The sequence below is a fragment of the Homo sapiens genome, chromosome 10 (assembly GCF_000001405.40).
Source record: "Homo sapiens chromosome 10, GRCh38.p14 Primary Assembly".
Taxonomy (NCBI): Eukaryota; Metazoa; Chordata; class Mammalia; order Primates; family Hominidae; genus Homo; species Homo sapiens.
In genome coordinates, this window is record NC_000010.11 from 17,109,277 (window position 1) to 17,130,574 (window position 21,298).

Below are 21,298 nucleotides of genomic sequence, written 5' to 3' on the forward strand. Positions count from 1 at the left end.
CTTCCCAAACTCCCTTTGCAGCAAAGCTCAGTTCTAAGCAATGGCCTAGAAATGGAAGAGTCCTTCAAAAGAAGGTGGCATTGCCTTCTTCCTCCTTTTCTCCTGCCTGCTTGTTGGAATACAGTCGTTAATTAATTAACTGGCTTAATTACCTTATTTCCTAAATCAGAGCAGACCATTAAAGAGCATAGTTTATTACATATTTAAGAAAGCCAAATGTGTAGTTTTATGGCATGGATTAATTTTAGGTTTGAAGGTCAAAATAACAATTTTGAGAACAGAGGATTTTGTGTTTAAGATGTTGAATTGGTTTAGAAGGTCATATTACAATACCCAAAGCCAAAGAGAGAGATGAGTCATTACCTAGAGTTGAGGAGCATGAGGCATCTGGGTGGCAGCCTCCATTACTGACTGAGCAGATGTCTGTGAGTGTGCACACTCTTCCGTCACCCTGGTACCCTGATGAGAACAAGAGCCAGGTCATAAGAAACAATGTCAAGAAGATGGGAGGACAAAGCCTGTCTAGGATTCAAATATCATGAAATGGACCAATCAGGGATCCTCTATCATCGAAACAAAAAATATAAGTATAAAATGTCATCAACAAATGAAATTTCATAAATAAGAAAAATAACAAGAATTAGTAACCTGATTTCATAAGCAATGTTCTGGGTTGTTTCTAATGAAAAAAATATGTATAAAACTACTGGTAGACTTAGAAAGTGCTGACACTAAGAAAGTTAATATTTTTATATTACAGTGACTCTGATGTTCTTAGAGGTCAATTATTATAGAAGCCCAAAGTACTGTAGTTCCATGTTATTTAAACATACAAGGTTTCAGTTTATCCCTTAGTACTCCCTGAACTTCTTGGGTAGTAATTCGATTTAGATTAGAGAATAGCAGAAAAGACTTCTTTCCAGAAAAGGAGGGAAACCAACAATTACGATATATGCCTACTGTGATGCCTGTGGTTTAGTAAACTTGGTATATGCAAAACAACTCAGGAGTGCATGATATTAACAAATTATTCGTGAGGGCAATGGAACAGTAAGTCTGTGATCCACTCAGAAAACTTTTCAAATTCTGCATTATCTCTGTAGCTATTTGACAGTTTGTAAAGTTTGTTGTTTTCTACTGATATTCAAAATGTTTTTTCTTTCTTATCATAGAGTTGTACTAATGTGTCCTGAATTCACAAGATAAGCAAAACTTTCTGTACTATTTCCTCTCCTAAGACAGAAATAATATTTTATTTTTTATTTTTTTAAGACAGAGTCTCACTCTGTTGCCTAGGCTGGAGTGCAATGGTGCGATCTCAGCTCACTGCAATCTCCGCTTCCCAGGTTCAAGCGATTCTCGTGCCTCAGCCTCCCGAGTAGCTAGGATTACAAGCATGCACCACCATGCCCAGCTAATTTTTGTCTTTTTAGTAGAGACAGGGTTTCACCATGTTGGCCAGGCCCGAACTCCCGACCTCATGTGATCTGCCCACCTCAGCCTCCCAAAGTGCTGGGATTACAGGCATGAGCAACTGCACTCAGCCAGAAATCATATTTTAAATGGAGCACTAGATTCCGTATTCCTATGTCTGTGTTCCCTGTGCTGGGGTCAGGAGGTTGACATTGAACCGAGGCAGCACCTGGTGGACAGGCCTGGCAGTGGGAAGACCCAGGTGTATTCACACACTCAACGGGTGGAGCCACAGAACAGCCGCCGTTATTTATCTCACATTCATTGATATCTTCGCAAATATATCCATTGCCTTGCCAGCCTAGGAAAACAAGAGGATTTAAAAGTTTAGCTCTATAGACAAGTCAACAAGGAAGAAATACAAGAGTCAAAACATATAAAAACCTTCTCCACCTAAGGAACTATAAAATAAAAATGAGATATGCTTATCAGATTGGCAAAAGTTGTTTTGAATTCTTAAAATCAAATTCTGACAACAAAGTGGGCAAATGGGCTCCTCTTATATGCTGATAGCTAGACATTAAATTGATATAACCTATTTGGAAAGAGCTCTGGCAGTATTCACTAAAATTTTTAAAATACATAGACTTTGACTGCCAGTTGCACCTATTAAAACTCAGCCTATTGTGATAAAACTACCAGTATACTAAGATGGTAGTATACATCTTAGTATACTGGTATAAGTAGGTAAGAGGATGTCTACCGCAGCACTGTTTAATAGGGAAAAAACCCTCAATTATCAATAGAAGCATAGCTGAACACCTTATGACTCATCTTTGTGACCAAATACTAAAAACGCTTTTTAATATCATGTGTACACCTGTATACCTACATTTGCATACACACACATTGAAAGAATTTTTGTATATACATTAATTAAAATACTAAATGTGGCTGGGCAAGGTGGCTCATGCCTGTAATCCCAGCACTTTGGGAGGCCGAGGTGGGCAGATCACCTGAGGCCAGGAGTTCAAGACCAGCCTGGCCAAAATGGTGAAACACCATCTGTACTAAAAATACAAAAATCAGCTGGATGTGGTGGTTCACGCCTGTAGTCCCAGCTACTTGGGAGGCTGAGGCAGAAGAATCCCTCAAACCCGGGAGGTGGAGGTTGCAGTGAGCCAAGATTGCACCACTGCACTCCAGCCTGGGCGAGACTTTGTCTCAAAAACAAAAACAAACTGTTAAAATCATATGGAGGATTGGGCTCATACTCCTAATTTGGGGAAAGAATTTTTTAAACTCTTGCATATGTGCTTGTACAAATGAAGAATAAAGTAGAAGAGGAAGGAGAACAAATGACTAATGGTGTCATTAGGAAGATGAGATTTAAGAATTTTACTTTAGTGGTTCCCATTGTATTCAATGGTTGTAGATTTATAATTCAAATTATTAAAATTATAAGAATTCTTAAAAACCTTTAAAGATTTAAAAATATTCATATTCTTTGATTTAAGTAGAATCCTCTTCTAAGACTCTGCCTAAGAAAATTATCATATTTGTGCATGGCAAAATGTGTACATGAAAAAAAGTTGGAAGAAAAAAACGCCCAAATGTTCATCATGGTCCTCTGTGTGATAAGATCAAAGGTATTTTTTTCTATTTTTTCCATATTTTTGTAGTGATATTTTATAAGCAGCATATATTGCTTTGCTGCTTATAAAATATAACTACCATATATTTCAGGAAAAATAGGGTGATAAACAAGAAAACAAAAAAATTGTTTCTCTTTTTCCTCTCCAACAATAAAAAGAAGAATGTAAAAACATTGCCAATCTTCTAATTTAAATAATTTATTTTTCTGATTTATAGTTTTTAAAGATTGTCCATGATAAATTACCTTCAAAATGTGATTGCTTGCAAATTGTGCTTGCCCCTGAGAACTAAGAGGGAAAAAGTCTTTATAGGTTTTTTTTTTCCATTTCTTTCCAGTTTTACAAGATCTAAATATATACACGCAGAAAACCACTAAACCAAAAATCACTACATGGGGCAATAGGTGTGTGGGGTTTCTTGGCGAGAAGAAACTTGCCAAGAAACTTGGGTTTCAATTCTGGCTATCTGTAAAGCTATGCGATCTTGGGCAAGTTATTCAACCTCTTTAAGCTCAAGTTCTCATATTGTAAAATGTGAGTAATACTTATTTTTACCATGTCTTGATTTTGTTGTAGTTAAAAGAATTAAAAATTGCTTATACAATGCCTTAATAACACTTTGATTAAAAATAAAAACCAGGCCGTGTGTGGTGGCTCACGCCTGTAATCCCAGCAGTTTTGGAGGCCAGGGCAGGCAGATCACTTGAGGCCAGGAGTTTGAGACCAGCCTGGCCAACATGGCAAACCCCATCTCTACTAAAAATACAAAAATTAGCCGGGTGTGGTGAGGTGTGCCTGTAATCCCAGCTACTCGGGAGGGTGAGGCAGGAGAATCGCTTGAACCCAGGAGGTGGAGGTTGCAGTGAGCTGAGATCATGCCACTGTACTCCAGCCTGGGTGACAGGGAGAGACTCTGTCTCAAAACAACAACAACAAAACAAAACAAAACCAGCTACTATTATTACATTATCTTTGTGGCTCCATTTCTAAGAACATCCCTGGAGCGCAGATGAACCTGAGGTCTGGCTAATTGCCTACCAATGCACCCAGCACAGTGCTTTGCTCATAGTAGGCATCCTACAAAAAAAAAAATGTGTGGAATATATGATGACTATCTCATAAAACAAAAGATGCCCTCGGATTCAAACACAGGCAGTCTTTGACTAACGGAGCCCATGTTTTCCATGACTCAACATATGGCATCCCTGGAGATTCAGTTGCTGCAGGGCATAATGGAGCTGGATACCTCTGTTTAGGTCAAGGCCGCAAGATACTCTAATGACACACCCAGGCAAGAGCTACTAGACTGTGGTGGAGATGCAAAGAGGTCAAATAATTTCCCCATGTGTACAAACATCTGGTTAGTATGAAAGGTGGGACTAGAGTATCTCTTTTGATCTCAAATCTGGTCAGTTGGTGGTCACTGCAATGCAGTGTCTAACTTACAAATTCTATGGCTAACCTTGCCCCAAAGTCTGACTCTAGCACAGTTTTGGACAAGCCTCCCCCTTTTGACGTGGAATTGTGATAGCAGTGAGATCGTCGAGCAGAACCAGGACACAAAACTGGATTTGAACACCTCCTAAGAATTGTCTTCTTACTCATCAATAGTGAAAGAAAATTGGTTCTGGCACCTCGCCAACCTGGCATGCAGAGCCTGGCTTGTGGCCCTGAGAATGTACCTGTTGGACAGGCCCCACAGTAGAAAGAGCCTTGAGTGTTGAAACACTGCACAAGTGTGGAGCAAGGCCCGGGCTGGAAGCTGCACTCGTCTCTGTCCAGCGTGCAGGCAGGGCTGTTGGGTGAAAACATCCACCCAGCATCACAGACGCAGCTGTACTTGGGCTGGCAGGATGACAACAGCGTGAATAAAGACAATCATGAAAATCAGCAAGAAAAGCCTTTGAACATTTCATCAAGCCCCTAACTGTTTATCCTCTAACGTTCATTTCCATAAGGCCAATCCACTGGCTTCTCTTTTTCTTCCCATATGATTAAGCATTTAGACCAGACCATGCAAAAAGGGAAACATCTTTATTTCAGAGTAAAAGCAAGCTATAATTTCTCCCAAAGATGCCAGGGAAAGAGTAACAACAATCAAGAACTGTAAGTCAATATAATTAAAGTCAATCAACTCAGCCTGCTATGTTTTTAGAGGGAAAAACACCCATGTAGGCACAGACCTTGGAAAATCAATTCCGTTTGTTTTTCTTTGGAAAGTTCTTCCTCCTACCCACCTCCTCAACCCTTCCATCCCCATCATTGGACGGGAATTATTTTCCATCACATGGGTAGAAAAAATACAACTAAAAATAAAGAATTGAAGTTCTCATGAAGAGCCAAGCCAGCCAAGACTGGACAACCTTGAGGGTCAGGAGTCAAAGTCATCAGGACGCAGGGCATGGAGGGTCGTTCTGGGGAGTGGGCTCTTAGAGTCTGCAGCAGTTCCAGAGACCCAGGCCGGGAAAAGTCAGACTCCTTGAAACCACATGTTGCCAACAAGACTGGTCCTTTTATATTCCTGTGTTTTGTCACTGTTAAAATAAAACTTACAAGGCCAAGAGAAGGTCTTATCTCAGAGAGAGTCATGACGGGATAATAAAAATGGTCCCATTTCGGCCGGGCACGGTGGCTCATGCCTGTAATCGCAGCGCTTTGCGGGGCTGAGGCGGGTGGATCACCTGAGGTCAGGAGTTCGAGATCATCCTGGCCAACATGGCAAAACCCCGTCTCTACTAAAAATACCAAAATTAGCCAGGCATGTTGGCATGCTCCTGTAATCCCAGCTACTCAGGAGGCTGAGTCACGAGAATTGCTTGAACCTGGGAGGTGAAGGTTGCAGTGAGCTGAGATCGTGCCACTGCACTCCAGCCTGGGTGACAGAGTGAGGCTCCATCTCAAAAAAAAAAAAAAAAAAAAATCCTATTTTACATAATGACATCTTAATCTCTGGGTCCTACTTCCTGCATAGTTCATCTCCCCTCCTCGCCTATGTCCTACTTACAGACAGGAAGTGACTTCACCTCTGTAAGCTCCAGGTAGTGCTTGTATGCAGTGGGCATAGGAGGAGGAGGAGCTACTAACCATGGCTCTCTGCAAGGAGGCACATTTGGGGAAGGGACCCACCTCTCCAGCTTGCTCTCGCATTAAATCCTCACAGATGCCATGGACACAGCGTGCCACAGAACCCCCTTCACAGTCGTCATATTTGGATGCACACTGGGGTCCGTACGTCTCAGGTGGGCAGTGACAACTGTTGGTTACACAAGAGCACAATGTCAGGGCACGCGCTTTGGGGCCAGTGCCTGTCTCTTAATATCAATGAGAAAAATAATTCAAATTACAAATCAACGATGTTAACTTGGAATCGTCAGCCAGCAATGCAAATTTACTGACTGGAGTCTCGGGAGAAAATCACTCTGCTGTGCTCCAAGTGGTGGATTGAGTAAATACAATGTTGGTGAATCACAACTTATTATCTGGTAAGCCTAGCACTATAAATTCTTGTGTTATCAGGTCATCAAACAGCATTTTCAAAGGTCAGATGTGTATAAGCCAAAGGTAATGGAGTTAGTTCAAGAAGGTAAAGGGAGAGATCAGCAAATCCATTCATCATCTGTCCAATTGGACCTGCCATGAAGCACAGGCAACGTGGGCTACACTGATAACTCTGAATGCTCTCTAGGATTATATAACCCCACACGCAATCCAGTGTCCACACCTCACAGTCTATGATCATTATTATTATCTTACAAAGGGCAATATGTCTTCTATCCATAAAAAGCGTAGTTATATAATATAATACAGTGGCATTTCTTTCATAGCCACACTTGAATTTCCAACAAAATGTGGTAATTATTACACTATGCGTAAGCTAGCAGTGGGTGCTTTGTTACTAGAAGATTTAAGTCCAATGATAATCAAATAAGCAATGTTGTTTTAAGCCCTTGTCATTGTTAAAGCTGCTTTAGCCTTATCTCTGCAGCTTAATGGGAACTTCTATGATCTGAGCATGGGAGCTAGGGGAGGAGGAGGGTAGAGGAGTCCCAGAAGCCTAAGCCTATCCCCACATGCCAGGGCACATCTGATGGAGAGGTAGGGCCAGGCCCAGAGGTTGCCGATTGCCGGACTTGAGCAGAATTGGCAAGAAAAGCTCTCATGGGGGAAATGACTGTTGGTGCCAGGGGTCAGAGACAAGGAACAGGGCGTGCCTGCGTGGCCAGGCCTCCCTCCCATGCCATTCTACAAAGGAAAAGAGCTATTTTAACAAGACACAGTGAGGTACAAGGAGCTTAGTAATGTTCATGGATGACAATGTATGAACGACATTGTGGGAAATTAGCATTTGACTGTTTGAAAGGCATCAAGAACCAACCTCCAGGCACAGGATTCGGCTTGCCTGTGGTGGGCCCCAGAACCAATTGCTGGGGTGGCAGCTTTTTGGCAGTTTCTAAGGAAGAGGAGAGCAATGAGTGTGGCCAGAAATGGAGAATAAGAATGCAGGGAGCACCATCCATGCATTCAAGTCGGGAGGCCAGACTTAGCAAATAAAAATACAGCATGCCCAAATAAATGTGAGTTTCCAATAAATGAATATTTTTTGGTATAAATATGTTCCATGCAATTTACGACATCAGTATATATTTACATAAAAGCTGATTCATTAATATATGACATTTCTGAGCATTCCAAAGTTGCCTTTGGAACGGCTCACTAAGATAAAGTCATAGGAAAATAACAATAAATGATTAAAATTAAAGAGAAATTGAATTATCCATCCCCCCCATAGACATTTATATTCCCCGCATCTCTCTCTACTTTCCTTCTCATATTGTTTTCTTTCCTCTTTGTCCTCCCATCTTTACATAGAATATTTGTATAGAGAATTTAATTAGACTCTTGAGGATTATGGAACTTTAAAACAGTTCATACACATATTTGAGCATTTGATCCAGGAGACTTCATTACTAAAAGTTTACTTTGCCACCTGTCCCAACACCTCCCAACAATGTTTAAGAATCTTTTTTATTTTTGTTTTTGTTTTTTTTGAGATGGAGTCTCACTCTGTCACCCAGGCTGGACTGCAGTGGCATGATCTCAGCTCACTGCAACCTCCGCCTCCCAGGTTCAAGCAATTCTCCTGCTTCAGCCTCCCGAGTAGCTGGGACTACAGGTGCGTGCCACCACACCCGGCTAATTTTTTATTTCTTTTTTTAGTAGAGATGGGTTTTCACCATGTGGTGAAACCAATTGATTAGTTACTGATTTAGCAGAAGTCTCTTTTCTAGAGGTAGAGGCTGGTCTCGAACTCTTGACCTCAGGTGATCTGCCCACCTCGGCCTCCCAAAGTCCTGGGATTACAGGCGTGAGCCACCGCACCCTGCTGAAGAATCTTTAAACCAACTGTTACTAGCTTTCTATTTTCTATGTCTGGGAGATCTGAGTGTTTGGAAACCCCTGGGATAAGATTGCCTAGGTTTAAATTTTGGTCCTTCCTGTTAACTGTTTACCCAGACAATGTACTAACTCCCTCTGCCTCAATTTCTTATGAAATAATAGTGGTAATCTCTGTGAATTATGGTCATATTGCAGTCTACAGGCATTCCCCTGTAGCAAGTGCTAAGAAGATTGTCTTTATTTTATCACTAAGTGCTTAACTATTGCAAAATGACATAAGATTTGAGAGGAGATTCTGGTTCATGGACCTGCAGTTAAATCCTTTCTCTTTATCTCTCTCTTCCTTCATCCTTGCTATTATCACTGGGAGATGAGTAGGCATTAATCCTATACTGTTCTCTAAATAGCTACAGAGTATACTTCTTTCACTTAAGTTTAGATGATGTGAGAAGATAGAGAAAGGGAGGAAGAAACTCAAGTAAACCATAGGATTCCTTCCTATGATCCTCAAAGACAAGTATTATTAATCCCATTTTACAGACTAACATTTCCCAAAACCACAAAATGAATAATTGGCAGAAGATAAATAGACACTTAGGTCTACCCGACTCCTGCACCATTGTTCCTGCATGTTATATTCTTACATTCTGATAAGTAGAGTTATATGAAGATGCTGCATTTTTATGCACCTTTTTGTTTTGTTTTGTTTCGTTTTGTTTTGAGACAGGGTCTTGTGCCCAGGCGGAGTGCAGTGGTGCGATCTCGGCTCACTGCAACATCTGCCTCCCAGGTTCAAGCGATCTTCCCACCTCTGCCTCTCAAGTAGCTGGGACTACAGATGCGTGCCAGCACGTAAGCTAAGTATTGCATTTTTTGGTAGAGACAGGGTTTCACCATGTTAGCAAGGCTGGTCTCGAACTCCTGACATCAGGTGATCCACCCACCTCGGCCTCCCAAAATGCTGGGATTACAGGTGTGAGCCACCGTGCCCAGCCTCATGTACCTTTTAAACATAACAGGGTTAACAGGCAAAATATATTTTCAAGGTGTCTTGATATGGCCTTTAAAAATGAACAATTACTTATATACCTCCCTAAGTGAAAATAAAAGCCATATATTGTATTTTTAAAACCAACTTACTACTATTCCTGCTTTAGTTATTAGTTACTGATATAGCAGAAGTGTCTTTTCTATGACCTTTTATTGCCAACTTGGTTCCAGCAGAACAAATCTAGGCTTTTCTTTGAAAACACTGCAAGTGCATTTTGGCAATTGAGAAGAGGTTAAACACACTTGGATAGTCATAGTTTAACTTGTGTTAGAGTCCATGGTTCAATACTAATTTTACTGACTGAGTGAAAAAGGTAATAAGTTTAATACCTAACTACCACCTGAGCTAAAACTAGATTATCCTCATTGTTTAAACTCTGCATGATGTAAAATCTACCAGTGATATGAATGGAAATAAGTGAAATAAAATTTACTAATCATCATGTTTCTGGAAAACCAGAGAAACTCAACTTTTTGTTTTTCTGGAAAGCCTTCTAGATCTGAGCCCTAAATGTACAACACACACCATCCATGCATGGCAAGCTCAGATCCCAAGGGCTGTCTTAAATCCAAAGTAAGCAGGGGAGGCTGGGCACGGTGGCTCACGCCTGTAATCCCAGCACTTTGGGTGGCTGAAGCGGGCAGATCACCTGAGGTCAGGAGTTTGAGACCAGCCTGGCCAACATGGTGAAACCCCATCTCTACTAAAAATACAAAAATTAGCCGGGTATGGTGTCAGGTGCCTGTAATCCCAGCTACTCGGGAGGCTGAGGTAGGAGAATTGCTTGTACCCAGGATGCAGAGGTTGCAGCAATTGCACTCCAGCCTGGGTGACAAGAGCAAGACTCTGTCTCAAAAACAAACAAACAAAAACAAACAAAACAAAACAAAGTGAGCAGGGAAACAACAAGAATCACGTCTTCAGAACAAAGAGGGAGTAACAGCATGGAGAAGTGGCGAAATGTAATTGTGTTAGTTGTCTGAAGCTCTGGGTCTAGACCTCAAGCCAAAAGAATCAGTGGAAACAGAAAATGATGTTTCTTGTGCTATAATCATTGTTCTAAAAAAGAATTTCCACCAGAAGTTTACCTATGAAACAGGTATGAAACAGGACTTTCCATGAATGAGTATCTGCACCTTTTCAGAGGTCTTTACAATGGCAAATTATTAATCCAGTTAAAGACTCCTTTTTCCGTCCAAGTAAAAGAGCTCAAAGAGTTAAAGAAACTGAATGAGGTCCAAACTCCAAAGCGAACTTTGATGCCATGACTACATTTTTGCAGGTCCAGATGATTCTGAGGCTCAAGTTTTCTTTTAGCTAATGTGTGCTGAAATTTCCCAAAGGGTTTTCTAGCCTCAGTGAATACCCTGATTAACAAGGATTTAACCTCACATAATTAACAGAACTCAAGAAAGTATCTAAATGTTCACTTGTTTCATTACACGTGGATTCCACAAAGCAATAATTTAATCTTATGCTCATGCACCTTTTTTCATTTTCTTTTATTCCCTCAAAAAGTCTCTAACATATGCCTGAATTACGGGACTTAAAGTGTAGATAATGAAATGGAATTCATGAGGTTTCAGAAACTATTCCCATATCAAGAGAAAGAACCCTGATTTAAATGCTCTGTTCTCTAATGTCCTCCAGCAAATCTATGAAGGGCAGAGTCTAGGAATCAAGATCATTTCCAAAGCCATCCACACATCATCAGTTCTTCTGTATTCTTGCTCTCCTTTATAAAAGAGTGCAAGAGAGAATTTCGTACTGTTCTTACAAAGTTGAATCTGTCATTTAGAAATGCAGCTTTCAACAAATAAATGGTTCCTTTCCTCCTAGCTCTCATTCTGTCATATGTGTGTGTGGATAAAGAACTCTAACCTCTGACATGCTGCAGAGTGGTAAATAGTAAAAGGGTTTTTGTTTTGTTTTTCATTTTGCAGGGGGAAGAAATAACGTGCTGAAAACAGCAACAGCCTTTATCTTGGTCTATGGATCTCATCACAGTTTGCCCATACTTGTCGCTCTATTGGCCCACAAGACTCCAAAAGACAGTGATGATAAAGGAAGACTAGGAGTGAAATCTAATCTCTGTAACATTCCTAGATATCAGGAAGGTCAGAAAGCAGAAGTTCTAGGAGCCTGGACATTTGCCACCAATGCCTCTATGTAGCAATCCTCCTTGATAAATGCCCATAAACAGAAATCAGGAGATAATGGGTTCACGGAAATGAGAGACTAGACTGCATTTTGCTTCCAGCCCAAGCCTAACAAAGGCAGGGAAAAAAGGCTTCATTTAAATGAGAAACAGAGTCCTGGAATCAAAAAGCTCTTTAATAACATAACACTAAATTTAAGTCAGAAGTGGTTAATTTTACTTTTGCATAATGATTGAACTCATAGACATATCTAGTAGAAGTTTGAATAATTTGAGTTTATAACCTGGAATGAGTAAAAGTTTTAAAGATCAGATCAAAAAAACAAAAGTATCAAATAAAAAGAGAAGGTTTGTGACTGCATTTTTAGAAGTGTGCATTAATAGTGATGGTTTAACATGGAATACTATGCAGCCATAAAAAAATGATGAGTTCATGTCCTTTGTAGGGACATGGATGAAGCTGGAAACCATCATTCTCAGCAAACTATCACAAGGACAAAAAACCAAACACCGCATGTTCTCACTCATAGGTGGGAACTGAACAATGAGAACACATGGACACAGGAAGGGGAACATCACACACCGGGGACTGTTGTGGGGTGGGGGGAGGGTGGAGGGATAGCATTAGGAGATATACCTAATGCTAAATGACGAGTTAATGGATGCAGCACACCAACATGGCACATGTATACATAAGTAACAAACCTGAACATTGTGCACATGTACCCTAAAACTTAAAGTATAATAATAATAAAATTTAAAAAAAATAGTGATGGTTTAAAAAACAAAATTACTGCACTCATTTTTGCTGGAAAGACTAGAATGGATATTGTTATGTGGAAATTGAAGAACAAGATAGCAGAGACACCAGTAAGAGAGCAAATAATTGCTCTTCAATCCAGTGAGATTCTACTCCAGAGCATTGAAAGGATTTGTTCATTCTATAGCAGAATTTATTTATTAATCTTTTAAAAATCACAAAATAAAAGAGACCAGCCAAACTATAAGGAAAGACACTGTCTAGTTTAAAAGGTGACTTCAAAGAACTGTACAAAAGTAAGTTTGGCATTGATCTGCCTTAATTTTTTGGACTTCGTTTTTAGAAAGACAATGTGTGTGGCATCAGCAAAGCTTTGACGATGGATATCCCTAGAGCATGATGGGAACATAGAGGCCCTGAGATGCCTCACTCTGCTTAAAAAGGGAAGGGAAAGTTTCCTGCAGAAAGTGATGCCTGAGCTGAGCAGGAGAATTCTGTGGACAAGTCACTTGACAGAATAAGTCAGAAGAGAAGATAGAGCTGTACTGATAATGATGACTGTGGTCAGAGAGAGTTACTTCATTCATTGAACCTCAGTTTAATCTTTGACCTCGTTATGGTCACATTTTGACATAGCATTGAATAAAGCTCTCTTTACCCAAAACTATGAGCTTGCTAATACATGGAAAGAGTACAGCTGGGGACACTGGTGTGGTGGGGTGTCCCCTTTTCTACTTAAGGCCATTCAGTGGCTCCCCTTCAATGCTCCGGCTCTTCCTAAGTCTTCAGCTCCTTTTGCACCAGGCCATGCTTACTCTCTGTGCCAATCACGGGAGCCTTCTTCCGGTTCCTTGGGGATGTTAGAGCAAGGATTTCTTCACGGGGTGAGAGTAAAGGACTCATGAGCTTTTCTTCAGTTAAGTAAAAATAGCTATGTAGACGTTAAGCAAGAGCTAAATATTTCCTCATGGAGTACCAACTTTTGGTGGAATACAGATAGTTAATTTAGGATGCTCTTAACTATGGGATGTTTTAGGCCTTCAAAAATATACTGATATTTACCAAAAAAAAAAAAAAAAGTTACCTGTAACTTCCCATTGTATTAACACATGTGCCTCCATTCTGGCAGCTCAAGGGTGTTCCTGAGTAAATCTCACATTCGTTAACATCAGCTGAGCAGAGAGGACCCTGTGATCATATAAGGAACAAAGTCAGGTGCCAAAGGTCACAGAGGTATCTGGAGCGAACATTCACATGATACGTTTAAGGATTTATACGTGGACAGTATATAAGTCCTCATAAAGTCAAATACAATAATACTGATATTAACCCCTGGCTATTCTTCCTCTGGAACTCAGATTTCACCTAATAGAACACAAGAGCTCTTCATAAGATCACAGCAGTCACAGGAGAGGAATCCTTATCTAAACATAATAGAATCCTCAGTTCACAGTGGTGCTACATCTGGGAATACTTACTTAACTTTTTTTTTTATGTGCATGCTGGAGACAGTTTCCATCGTTATCAGAAAAAATAAACAAACAAAGAAAATGAGAAAATTTGCATAGGTATGTCAAGATTTGTTTGGTACTTTCCAATGCTGAACAATTTAAATTAATGTTAACAGAAATATTGTGTTCTTCCAGGCAGTTATCCAATCAAGTGAACCTCTCCTTTCAATGGCTTTAGTATTTGGTGGGTTATACAATCATACTCACCACTGTTTGGGTTTTAGCATACCTGGTATATTTCAATTTGATTTGGGAGGCCACAGAATCCTAGAAACTTTAGATGGAGAATTAAATATGCCTGATGATTCCAAGGAAACCACAGATGCTGACCTGCCATCATTCTTAACCAAAGAGTAGATGACTCACCTTCCACTGTGGGGGACAGATACAAAAAAAGGAATCATGCAGATTGAGGCAGGTTCCACCATTCTGGCAAGGATTGCTGCTGCAAACCTTTTTGTCAACAGTCTGAAACAAAAACAGGACAGTCAATGAGATGACTTGCAGTCAGCAGCAACAAAACGCATGTTACCGTGCACGTGGGATTACATTTAACTCTTAATCAGTGGGGGTCTCCTTCTACACTTTAAAGCCATTACTTATGTTCTTCTTCAAATCACCTCTCTTGTGAAAAAACAGAAAGCATTTTCTATTATCAATCTTGTTCCTATTCCTTAACTCTCAGCATGCTTTTGACCACGGGTGGGATGAAGTCTGAGGGGAGAAGATTCTCACTTTGTCTTGGAAAAGTATTATTCTCACCTGAGAAAGAGACCTCAGTGGACAGGAGTAAAGGTTTCAGGTGTGGAAATAATAATGGATGTTGCTATTGCACAAAGAAAATAAAATGGAGATTCCGGTTATTTTACCGGTGATTCTTATCTTTGGTCCCTCGAGGTGAGCCTTTGAAATATAATCATCTGCTGCTGCTGCCCCTCCTCCCATGGGTTAAGGTGACTGAACTCCTGCTCCAAGTCCCTTTGTTAGAAATGTGGCCAGCTAAGACATATCTTTCACCCTGGTGCTCACCTGACTGCTTTCAGCCCAGATCACAAACAGACCTACCTTTGTCTACATCTACATCTACATAACCTGGGGAATCTGACCCTATGTCAGCTACCAGTTTGAATCTTGTTAAGATTTTTACTGCCTTTGGGTGCAGAGAAAACTTCTTTTTTTTCTTTTTTCTTTTTTCTTTTCTTTTTGATTTTTTTTTCTTTTTTTTGAGACGGAGTCTTGCTCTGTCGCCCAGGCTGGAGTGCAGTGGCGCGATCTCCGCTCACTGCAGGCGCTGCCTCCTGGGTCCATGCCATTCTCCTGCCTCAGCCTCCTAAGTAGCTGGGACTACAGGCGCCCGCCACCACGCCCAGCTAATTTTTTGTATTTTTAGTAGAGACGGGGTTTCACCGTGTTAGCCAGGATGGTCTCGATCTCCTGACCTCGTGATCCGCCCGCCTCAGCCTCCTAAAGTGCTGGGATTACAGGTGTGAGCCACCGCGCCCAGCCAGAGAAAACTTCTTTAGAGGGAACACTTGATTATGCAATGATGGCCACTTTATGAATTTCACTCATAGTCCAATTGTCTGGGTTTTGGTTGGTATCGTTGTTTTGTTTGTTTGTTTGTTTTTGAGATGGAGCCTCGGTCTGTCACCCAGGCTGGAGTGCAGTGGTATGATCTCAGCTCACTGCAACCTCCACCTCTTGGGTTGAAGCGATTCTCATGCCTCAGCCTCCTCAGTAGCTGGGACTACAGGAATGTCCCACTACGCCTGGCTAATTTTCCTATTTTTAGTAGAGACAGGGTTCCACCATGTTGACCAGGCTGATCTCAAACTCCCGACCTCACATGATCCACCTGCCTCGGCCTCCTAAAGTGCTGGGATTACAGGCGTGAGCCACCGTACCCAACCTAATTCTCTGCTTTTAAAAAGTTAAAATAGGGGCAAACTGTTGATTACATTTCATATATATGTATGCACACACATACATATATATTATATATGTGTCTATATATATGCACATACATACACACACACATACAAATACAACATACTATATACAGTGACTCATAAAAAAAAATTACGTCTGTTTCCTTCATTTTATGGATGAAATAGAAAGCCAGAGGATAGCCAACTGACTCAATACCATTTTCTGCAAAGCACATTCCTTCTCCACTTTGGTCATAAATTAGATGACCACACGTCTGGGGGTCTCTTTATGAACCCTGTTTTATTCCATTATTCTATTTTTCTCTTTGTGCTAGCACAACAATTGGCTCTGTCCATCATAGAATGCTCTTTAAAACATTAACCACAAACTCATTCAAAGGTTTTCTGTCAGACAAAAGCAACACTGTCTGGGGACTAAAATCTTAAAAGCCTACAGGGGCCTAGTAGAAAATGAAATCAGGAGTCAGGAGGAAGACAATAGGGAGTGGTGGGGACTGTGGTGGCCAGAGAGCATTTGCCCTATCCAAAGGCACAAAGCATTCACATTTGAAAATCATTCAACATTCCTCCTGAGGGATGAGGGTAGGAGGACTGGCTGAGCGAATATAATGAAGCCCTCCAGGAGACAAAACTTGAGTGCAGTGTCACGGTCCACAGCACTATTCTTTACTCATTTTCTTTCGCTTAACTACTCTCTTAAAAATGACAGCTGAGGGGTCAATGTATTATCTAAGTGGAGAAAAGGAATACACGAACTTGATCATCAAATGACAAAAAGGTTTGCAGCAGCAATCCTTGCCAGAATGGTGGGACCTGCCTCAATCTGCATGAGTCCTTTTTTTTGTATCTGTCCTTCACAGTGGGACAGATCAAACTTAAAAGTAGAGGAAAATGCTTGAAGCATGAGCAAAACAGATGAAGAATATTTTTGCAGAAATTCTTACACTGGAATCCCCAGATTTTTATGCAAAATTTTAAACATGAAGAGATTCTGTACATTTCTCTGCATAGAAGGTTACAGCTTCCATGAAAGTCTTTAAAAGGTCAGCTTCCTACAAAAGGGGTAAGAAGCCTAAGTTTACATAGATCAGTCTACAAGCATGTAGTACAGTTATACAATGTTTTCTGTAAGAAACTGTTCAAGTTTAATTACCAGCAAATGTCATTTTAAGAAAATTCGGACTATTTTGTGATACACCTAGACTTCCGAGCTTAGCGTCAGAGAGGATGCTTGCTTTCCGAGCCCCAGTCCCTGATGGGAGAATCAGCAAGTTGGGAGATCACTAGCTGACCAAGCACAGCACACACAGCTAAAGGGTGATGGTAAAGGATGTGGGCTGTGGGCTGCAAACTCAGGGTCAGAAGCCCTAACAGGCTCGGAGACCTCAGCCTTGTCATTTCATCTGTCTTAGACTCAGCTCTGCATCTGCATCCTGGGAAGCACATGCTGGGATGAGAATTAAATTATGGGAAAAAGCAAGTTTTTAATATTAATCATCCATTCACCTTCAAAATAAGAATAGCAGCTCTATTAATGATTCTAGTATGTTTTCTGTGAAAGATTTGGGTATGTAGTAGCATGAGACCTACCTGCTGCAAGCCTTGGAATTTTCTCTCAAGATCCACCAGCTGGCAATAGGGAAGAAAAAGCTTCAGTTAGCTGGTTCAAAGGCATTGCACATGTGATGTTATATCCTTGACATATTGTCCTAATGCCCTCTGCTAGGGACACACTTTGTTCATTCCTCCTTTTATTCCCTTTTTCCTCTTCATTCCTCTCCCCTCAGGATTTTCTTCCTTCCTATTCCCTCCTATCACATAGATTTCTGGGGTTTTTTTAAGTTTTTTTTTAAAGTACAACCCACTGATAAGTTGACCGATTGCTTCTCTGTAGGCAGTGACTATGGAAATGTTCATAAATGTCAGTGATGCATCCACTTCCCCAATAAGAAGATTGCTCTCAGAACTTCAGCAAGGCTTCTTTTCTTTCTTTCTTCCTTTCTTTCTTTCTCTCTCTCTCTTTCTTTCACTCTGTCTTTCTTTCTCTCTCTCTCTCTGTCTCTCTCTCTCTTTCTGTCTCTCTCTCTCTCTTTCTTTTTTTTTTTTTTTTTTTCTGGCAAGGTCCCACTCTGTTGCCTGGGCTGGAGCACAGTGGCATGATCATAGCTCACTGCAGTCTCAACCTCCCTGGCTCAAGCCATCCTCCCACTTCAGCCTCCCAAGTAGCTGTGAGTACAGGCTCATGCCACCATGCCCAGCTATTTTTTTTTTTTTTTTTTTTTTTGGTAGAGACGGAGTCTCACTATGTGGCCCAGGCTGGTCTCAAACTCCTAGGCTCAAGCGACCCTCCCTCTGTGGCCTCCCAAACTGCTGGGATTACAGGCAGTTTTTTATATTAATCATCCATTCACTTGCAGTGAGCCACTGCTCCCAGCCCAAGGCCTACTTCTGCAACAAGTGCTTGCACAGCATTTCCTGCCTTCTGTCCATCACTTCTACAGCCTCCATTACAGCTGTGTCATTTAACCAAACAGTGAGTAGTTACATGCTAAATCTCTAAAGAGCACACAAAGTTGGTATATCCCCTACAAAACGGTTACTTATACAATAGAACTAGGGAGAACTCATCGGTTCTTATGACGTAGATGTCAGACTTACCTTGGAATTAAGCTGATAGATTTGACTAGATATATTTTGAGGCAGACCAATTGCACTCCCTTTTAACTCTATAATATCTTCTTTGTTTTTCTGGATCTAATTTTAGAAAAAGAAGAAGAAATGAAGAGCACTAGTGAAAATATCATATTTATCTTTACAGTAACATAATTAAAAACTTGAGTAGTATTCTACTTTAAGCACTAAGATCTTGCCTATTATTATAAAAACCAAAACAACACCATGCGTAATAAACACTGGGCTAAAATAGCCACAGCATAATTCCACTTATCCTTTTCAGTAACAATAGATCAAGGTATTTTCCATTTGTATGTTTTCCTATAATACCAGTTTAGGGTGCTTATTAAGAAACCTGGCTTGGAAGCAGACTGTTTAGGTTTTAAGTCCTGGCTCAGCTATTTATTGCTGTCCTGGGCAAGTTACCTAACTGCTTCAGGGTTTCTTTACCTCTTGTAAAACTAGGGTGACAATAAAGGCCACCTCATAGGACAGCTGTGAAGGTCAAATGAGATAACATCCATACGGTGCTAAGCACAGTGGATGGCCCACAGTAAGCTCTGAATAATGCTGACTTCTAACATTATGACTGAAATATGCAGTGATTATTGGGAAATGAAAACACCCAGTAAGGCAGGAGAATAACTGGCCAATTCTGTTCTGTGGCAAAAGCAAACTGGTCACATGTCCACATATCCTTGGTCCCCTACTTCCTCGCATCCCCTGTGGAGGAGTTTCAGTTCCACCCTCCGTGCCTTCTCTGGACTAGGGTGCATTGTCTGGCACAATGAGCTTCTATCTTTTAGCATACTCCCTCTACCCACTATTAACCCCAGGCCATCGTCCTTTACAAGAACATGTCTGATGCCCAATTATGTTCTCTATGCTAAAGATTCAAGGTACACTAGGAAGGGGGAGGGAGGCTGAAGACAGGTTGATTAATGAATACAATATATAGTTAGATAGAAGAAATAAGACCTAGTGTTTGATAGACCAGTAGGGTGACTATAGTTAACATTAATCTATTGTACATTTCAAAATAACTAGAAGAGAACAATTCATATGTTCTTAGCATGAAGAAAAGGTAAATATTTAAGGTGATGGATATCCCAATTACCCTGATTTGAACTTTACACATTATAGGAATGTATCAAATTATGTATTAATAAAAAATAATAATTAAAAAAGATTCAAGGTACAGATTAATCTAGACTTGTTCAATTAAGTCACCGTATATGGATATACAAAATGACTTCAATATATTTCCAGTGTATTACCTGATGTAAACACTCACTGAGATCTTCATCATTTAATTTAATTTTTCCCAGGGATCCGGTTCTAAACTCAATGTTTTGAGCAGACCCCGTAAGAAACACCAAATTTCCTCTCTCTGTAGCCATTCGAGGCCTATATAATTCAAACGAGAGAATGCATCAGTAATTAGCAAGTACAATTTTTAAACCAAAATAACAAAGTTTCTTACTGAATAACTACAGGCCAAATACATCTTCACTTTTTGATCATCTCAACCCAACTGCCCCTGCTCATCTGCCACTTTTTTCTCTGCACATTTCTCAGAGATACCTCCTGGCAATTGCAAACAGATTATTTGCAAAATGACAGATAATAATTTGTGCATAGGAAAGTAATTTCATACCTCAGTCTAAATGTTTTTCCCTGTTTGCTTCTCAACATAATTTTCCTCAAGAAAAATTGCACCTTTGTTTATCTGGCTATTTGGGAAAACTGGTGAGGAATTAGCCTAGTCCCTGAGCAGGAATGACCCATGTGTTTACTTACTGTTGGAGATTGATGCTTCTTTTTTGTCTCTGCAGCTCAAGTTCTCCAGCTTCGCCATTTACTTCAGCAAATATTAATAAGGTAAGCAAACTCCAAAGAAAAGGTAAAGACATGTTCATCATCAACCTCCCAGGTTGGCAGGTAAGAGTGAGGCCACTCCAACCAACTGAGCATGGGATTTTGGAGAACAGCAAACCAGGCAGGTGTACTTTGAACCATGGAATATCCTGTAACTGTTGAGTTTTTTCTTCTTTGCCCTAGAAGGCTATGTTATTTTTTCTTCCAGAGGGATGTAAATGATCTTAGATCTTCAGTACTCTTCAACTTGTGAGAGGTCAAAATCTACCTTAAGTGATGCGCAACTTAATCATTATCTATTTGACCTTTGAAACAGTAACAAGCAGCTTTGAAAACATCCACTTAAACAATCTTTGCTTAAGAAGTAACTAGGTTTCAACAAAAGTAAACTGGTCATTATCTACACCTTTCTCTGTTCCCCTCCTTCCTCACCTCCCTTGCAGAGGAGTTCCACCTTTACCCAGCGCTAGGAAAACTAGATATCCACATGCAAAAGAAGTTGGAGGCTTACCTCATACCATATGCAAAAATTAACTCAAAAAAGTTCAAAGATCTAAATCTAAGAGCTAAAACTATAAAATTAACTCACAATGGTTCAAAAAATCTGAAACTATAACATAAAACTCAGAAGAATAGGACAAAAATTCATGACCTTGGATTTTGGATTTGGCAATGATTTCTTGAGTATGATACCAAAAGCATGGGCAAAAAAAGAAAAACACACAGACAACCAAAAGATATAAATTGGAATACATCAAAATTAAAAACGTTTGTGCATCAAAAAATACATCAACAGAGTGAAAAAGCAACTCCCAGAATGGAAGAAAATATTTGCAAATCATATATATATGAA

At 40.3% G+C, this 21,298-nt stretch overlaps 1 protein-coding gene across 2 annotated transcripts in view, besides 1 other annotated feature; it reads right to left on the reverse strand.

Moving 5' to 3' along the window:
• The window catches only part of CUBN (cubilin), a 305,846-nt gene extending 285,311 nt beyond the window's left edge, over positions 1-20,535 (reverse strand). For both annotated transcript variants that reach the window (NM_001081.4, XM_011519708.3), the window contains exons 1-10: positions 20,368-20,535; positions 19,845-19,974; positions 18,553-18,648; positions 17,485-17,523; positions 14,312-14,413; positions 13,519-13,622; positions 6,195-6,321; positions 4,751-4,913; positions 1,643-1,774; positions 364-459 (exon numbers count right to left, since the gene is read on the reverse strand). In NM_001081.4, coding sequence (NP_001072.2) covers positions 364-459; positions 1,643-1,774; positions 4,751-4,913; positions 6,195-6,321; positions 13,519-13,622; positions 14,312-14,413; positions 17,485-17,523; positions 18,553-18,648; positions 19,845-19,974; positions 20,368-20,489 — 1,111 coding nt within the window. In that variant the 5' untranslated portion in view covers positions 20,490-20,535. The remainder of the gene's footprint in view (positions 1-363; positions 460-1,642; positions 1,775-4,750; positions 4,914-6,194; positions 6,322-13,518; positions 13,623-14,311; positions 14,414-17,484; positions 17,524-18,552; positions 18,649-19,844; positions 19,975-20,367) is intronic.
• Positions 5,892-7,091: an enhancer, noted in NCBI's record as "MED14-independent group 3 enhancer chr10:17157167-17158366 (GRCh37/hg19 assembly coordinates)". NCBI's record gives its function as "activates an origin of replication core promoter dependent on BRD2, BRD4, P300/CBP and CDK7 cofactors, and independent of MED14, by STARR-seq in HCT116 cells {active_cell/tissue: HCT116}" and the evidence as "EXISTENCE:reporter gene assay evidence [ECO:0000049][PMID:35650434]".